The sequence below is a fragment of the Homo sapiens genome, chromosome 5 (genome assembly GCF_000001405.40).
Source record: "Homo sapiens chromosome 5, GRCh38.p14 Primary Assembly".
Classification (NCBI taxonomy): Eukaryota; Metazoa; Chordata; class Mammalia; order Primates; family Hominidae; genus Homo; species Homo sapiens.
This window is the reverse complement of record NC_000005.10, coordinates 121,475,883-121,480,685: the sequence shown is the minus strand read 5'-3', so window position 1 is coordinate 121,480,685 and position 4,803 is coordinate 121,475,883. Positions and strand designations below refer to the sequence as shown.

Genomic DNA, 4,803 nt, shown 5'->3' with positions numbered 1-4,803 from the left:
ATATCTTTGAAGAAAGCAAAGCTCAAAAATTTTGAGATGATTCTGCTAACCTTACATAGTATTTTGTTCCTAAAATTCTGTCTATTATTTCTGATTTATAGAAATTCAGTGGCAGCTATTATCTATTTTATTATCTATTATCCATTTGATTGTAGCTATTTTCTATTTTAACGATACCCTATGAAGCTTTACAATTAGTTTTAGGATAATCTCTTAAACATAGCGAGGGTAGAACTTTTGTCTGTTTGTTTTGTTTTGTTTTTGAGACGGAGTCTTGCTCTGTTGCCCAGGCTAGAGTGCACTGGTGTGATCTTGTCTCACTGCAATCTAGTGAGGGTAGAATTTTTTAAGTGTATAATATTTTTGTTTTTTAATAAAAGTGGTTTGTCTTTGTCATGTAAAGTGCCTGCTTACAGTTAGTGCCCACATTTTCACCAGATCTCTGTGTTGCACAGATTTGATGATATAGGTAAGACTGGAGGCTATAGTAAGTGCTCCAGTATGACATGGTATTATATATATTTATGGGAGAATTAGGAAGGCATTCTGGATATTCTAATGGATATTATCTTTGCTGGAGAAATTTCTCATTTAAAAGGAGAAATGACCAGAAGTTAGGGAAGGGTCATTTGCTTAGTATCTTTTATCAGCTAGAGAGCATTGTTGTTCTGTTGATCTAACTTAGTCATGCCAAAGGTAAAAAAGCTATAAGAAAACAAGAAGTGCTATCCAGGACAGGAAAGTGTCTTCCTCCAATCTTTGTACAGAAAATTTACAAAACAGTAAATTATAAAAAGCTGCTACAATAATGACAGGAGACTAAGGTCATTTTACTGAAATATCTCTCTCATCACCTTACCGAATTAGTGAAAATATTAAAAGTAGTCAATGAACTTACTAGTTACAAGACAAACAAGTTAAGTATACAACCTTAAAAAGTAAACATCCAAGGAGGGTTGTGAAATAATAGATAATACTGTCATGCATTGGCAAAGAAATATAGAGGTGAGGAAAATAAATGAAATGAGAAGAATATGAAAGACTTACTAAACCCATCCACTGATAGAAAGGCTGATGGCATATTGAGCCAGTATGTGATACAAACACTGTGCTCTTGGAAGGCTGCATAATGCCTGGCTCCCATGTACAGCCTGAATGGAGATGACATAAGGATCTTAAATGGGAAGGTGTCAAGAAGAATCTCCCCACACTATATCAGAGCAAATGGAAGAAATGAACAGAGTTGCCAATATCAAGGCTGTAAATAATAAAGAGAAATGTAAGAAAAATTTGGAAACATATTAAATGCAAAATGTGTGTATATGTATATATGTGCATGTGCATGTGTGCACAACCTAAAGGAAATATAATTAAAAAACAAAATCATCTCCCAACCCAGAAAATCTCTCCATAAAGTTATTAGAGACAGAAATCAGTCATGTTACTGAATAAGCATTAAACCAAAGTGTTATGTGCATCACTGGCCATCTGCCCAGAGATGCAAAGACAGAAAGAAATCTGAATCTTTTATCTAGGCAGAAACAACTAATTACATACAAGTTTTTAAGCTAAACAGTAACTAGTCCTTAAGTAGGAGGACTTGAAGGTTGAATTTGCTACACATAGTTCATCCTAACCTTACATAGCAATTGGAGTGACCATCTGTATTAGCTTATTGGCTTTATTAGAGGAGAAATAAGCTTGTCATATGTTTATAACAGAAGGTAATTTTAGAACTTTAAACATGTTGCCCACCAAAGTCAGATTCCTGCTCTCCAGCAAAAACTGGGTAAAAGGTGCTATTTCTTGATGTTTACATTTCAAAGAGATGGCTGCCGGGCTCTGGAGAAAGACATTCCTGGGTCATAAAGTCGACAAAAGGCCTATTTTCTAAGGTAAATCCTCCTAATGAAAGGGGAGAAGTTTCTTTCCTTATTTTGAACAAGCAGAATTCAGCCTTTTATTTTTAATTTTTGTTTGTCTTTATAGGACTTACGTGTATGTACAAAAGATAAAGAATTTTGTCTGGAAGAAAACAATCTGATACTTCCTAGAATATCTAAAAAGTAGTATTAACATGAGTCAGGATATAAATATGGGTAGGTCATTCATGGGAAATGTGTTTCTGATATTTCAATGATGGATTACTTGATTCAGACTAAATTTAATACATCAATAAAGATAGGTATAAACTTACTATTTATAGTTGTGGGAATAACTGACTATGTATACCTAAATGCATTTACCTGTGGAGAATGGCAAGGAAACATAAAGATATCTGTATCTAGAATTTGTATAGAGTCCTGAATTGCACAAATCATTTTCTTATTTGTGACCTTTTTCCATTGCTGAGATTAGTTAGTCTTCTTATAGAATTTAGACAGTATCATTCCATTTCATTCCACTTCATGAGACATTTTGGTAGAAATGGAGTTATCAAAAATATTACTGAAGAAGAGAAGCTCATTGCTGGTGAAAAACTGTTGCTTATTTAAGTTTTTATTAGTGTTAGTAATTCACTTTTAATGTGTTATAAGACTGTGTCTCAGGAAATGAAGTACTGTTAGAGAACCTGTTTTCAAAGGAATCTAGGTTATTTATAAGATGGCAACTTAATGGCATTATAGCCACTGAAGAGTTCTCTATATATTTTTTTCAAGTTTTAGAGCACTTTTCATCCTAAATTTGCATTTAATTTGGTATGAAAGTCACCTGAAGTTGCTCTGGTCCTTGCCATTTGTGGGTTTTATTATCTTGAGCAAGGCCCTCAAAATTCCTCTCTCAGTTCCTCTTGCTTATGTGACACTTTTTCATTCTATGAAAGGTAGCTAATGTACCTGAGATTATACAAGAGGAAGAAGGAAGGAAAGGACAACAGACAGGAGAAAGACTAAGAATGAGAGAAACAGAAAGGCAGGGAGTGAGACTGAGAGAAAGTTGTATAGAGACTAACAGAGAGAAAAGTAAAATATATTGAGGCTCTTGAAAAAGCTTTTTATCTCCTCTTGATTGCTGCCTAAATACTTGGTGGCGGCCTGCAATGGACGGATTTTTATCCCTCTGAAATTAATACGTTGAAATCCTAACTCCCAATGTGACTGTATTTATAGACAGGTCCTATAAGAAAGCAATTAATGTTAAATGAGGTCACAAAGATGGTCCCCTGATATAATAGTATTAGTGACCTTATAAAAACAGGTGGCAAGAGAGATCGTGCTCTTTCTCTTTCCTTGCCATGTAAGACCACAGCAAGAAGGCCACCATCTGCAAGCCAGGAAGAGAGCCTTCACCAGAAGCTGAATTAACTGGCACATTCATTTTGGACTTTCCAGCTTCCAGGGCTGTGAAAAAAAGAAAAAAAACTGTGTTTAAGACATCCAGTCTCTGGTATTTGTTACAAGAGCTTGAGCAGACTAACACAGGGCCCCAAAAGGGACACCCAGTAGAACAAAAGATGTAGGCTCTGTTATATTTGGAAAATGTAAGGAAAACTATAGATATGCTGCCATACATTATTAGAACTTTTCCATGTCTCTATTTATATTTGAATTACACAACTAAATTCATTATTGTAAAAATAAACTATCATATGGAGAAATTAAAAAGCTAGAAAACAATTATAAAGGACAAAATAAATACAGGGCAACATACCTATATAATAGCTCACTTTCTAAAAACTTGCTGCATTTATTATACTTTTATTTGGAGCACTGCAAAAAGATTTTAATTAATAATCATTACAATAAGTTAATTTATATACATAAATGTTAAACATTTGTTAACATTTCCTTTCTACCTACTATAAATAAGATCCTTTTATTTAGTAAAATAGATGTAGGAATATCAGATTGGTAAAGATAAAATAGCTTTATTTTTATTTATTTATGTCATATTTACCATAGCCACATTGTCTCAAATATTTTTAGTGGCTCTTGTGTTGACTTATTTTCTATTTTCTGTAACACTCAGTAAATTTATATCTTCTGTATTTAAGGTTTGTTCTTCCTTTTCTCTCTGGTTTTCTTCCACAGACTTATGCCAATTTTGTTCAATCCTACCCTGTATAATGAAACAGTTATTCTGAAATGTCATTTTCTCCTTTTTAGGACTACATTTTTCTAAATTGAAAGGTATAGCAACAACTTATAAAGCAATCTTTTATGGCCCCTAGAGAGTTATTTTTTTAACATTTGTCATGGCCTCTGGGACCCTAAAATTATTTATTGATTAGGGATGAATGCAGTAGAAAATATAGTTAAATAATTATTTTGTATTTTTGTTGAATATAATCTTTTAAATGAAGTATTTGTCAGTGAATTAGTAAACTTGATTTAGTAGTATCAATCTATCAATGCCTTATAATCAGGGAATTGCAGAAAAATTAAAATATATGGTTTACCAAATTGCTATCATTTTGTCACTTCCTGAGGAGTTTGTGGTGTGTACTCAGCTGCAGGAGCCATTCTATCCAACCTTGGCATTTTGAGGCTATTAGCTGGTGATGCTATTGCTGTTCACTATGACTTTTGAAGCTGAGACACTTTGCTGAAATTATTGTATTAGTGAAGATGCTTTTGTATCACTGTGTCTGAAAACTAATTTGTGCTAGTTTAAGTGAAATCAGGAATATAATGACTCACATAACTGGGAAGGCCAGAGGTTAACCTGGCTTAATGAGTGAAAGAGTTAAGGAACCAAACAATATGTGATTGGTCTATTTCAAAAAATCCCTCCTGCCTCTGCATTCTTCTGTGTAGAGAGAGCTTACATATGGCTAGAGAAAAGGGTTATCAACTAGTTTAT

The 4,803-nt window shown here is 33.5% G+C and overlaps 1 annotated feature.

The window, feature by feature from the left end:
• Positions 1,576–2,153: an enhancer, noted in NCBI's record as "NANOG hESC enhancer chr5:120814228-120814805 (GRCh37/hg19 assembly coordinates)". NCBI's record gives its function as "activates a minimal SCP1, AML or CMV promoter by ChIP-STARR-seq in naive H9 embryonic stem cells {active_cell/tissue: H9 hESC(naive)}" and the evidence as "EXISTENCE:reporter gene assay evidence [ECO:0000049][PMID:30033119]".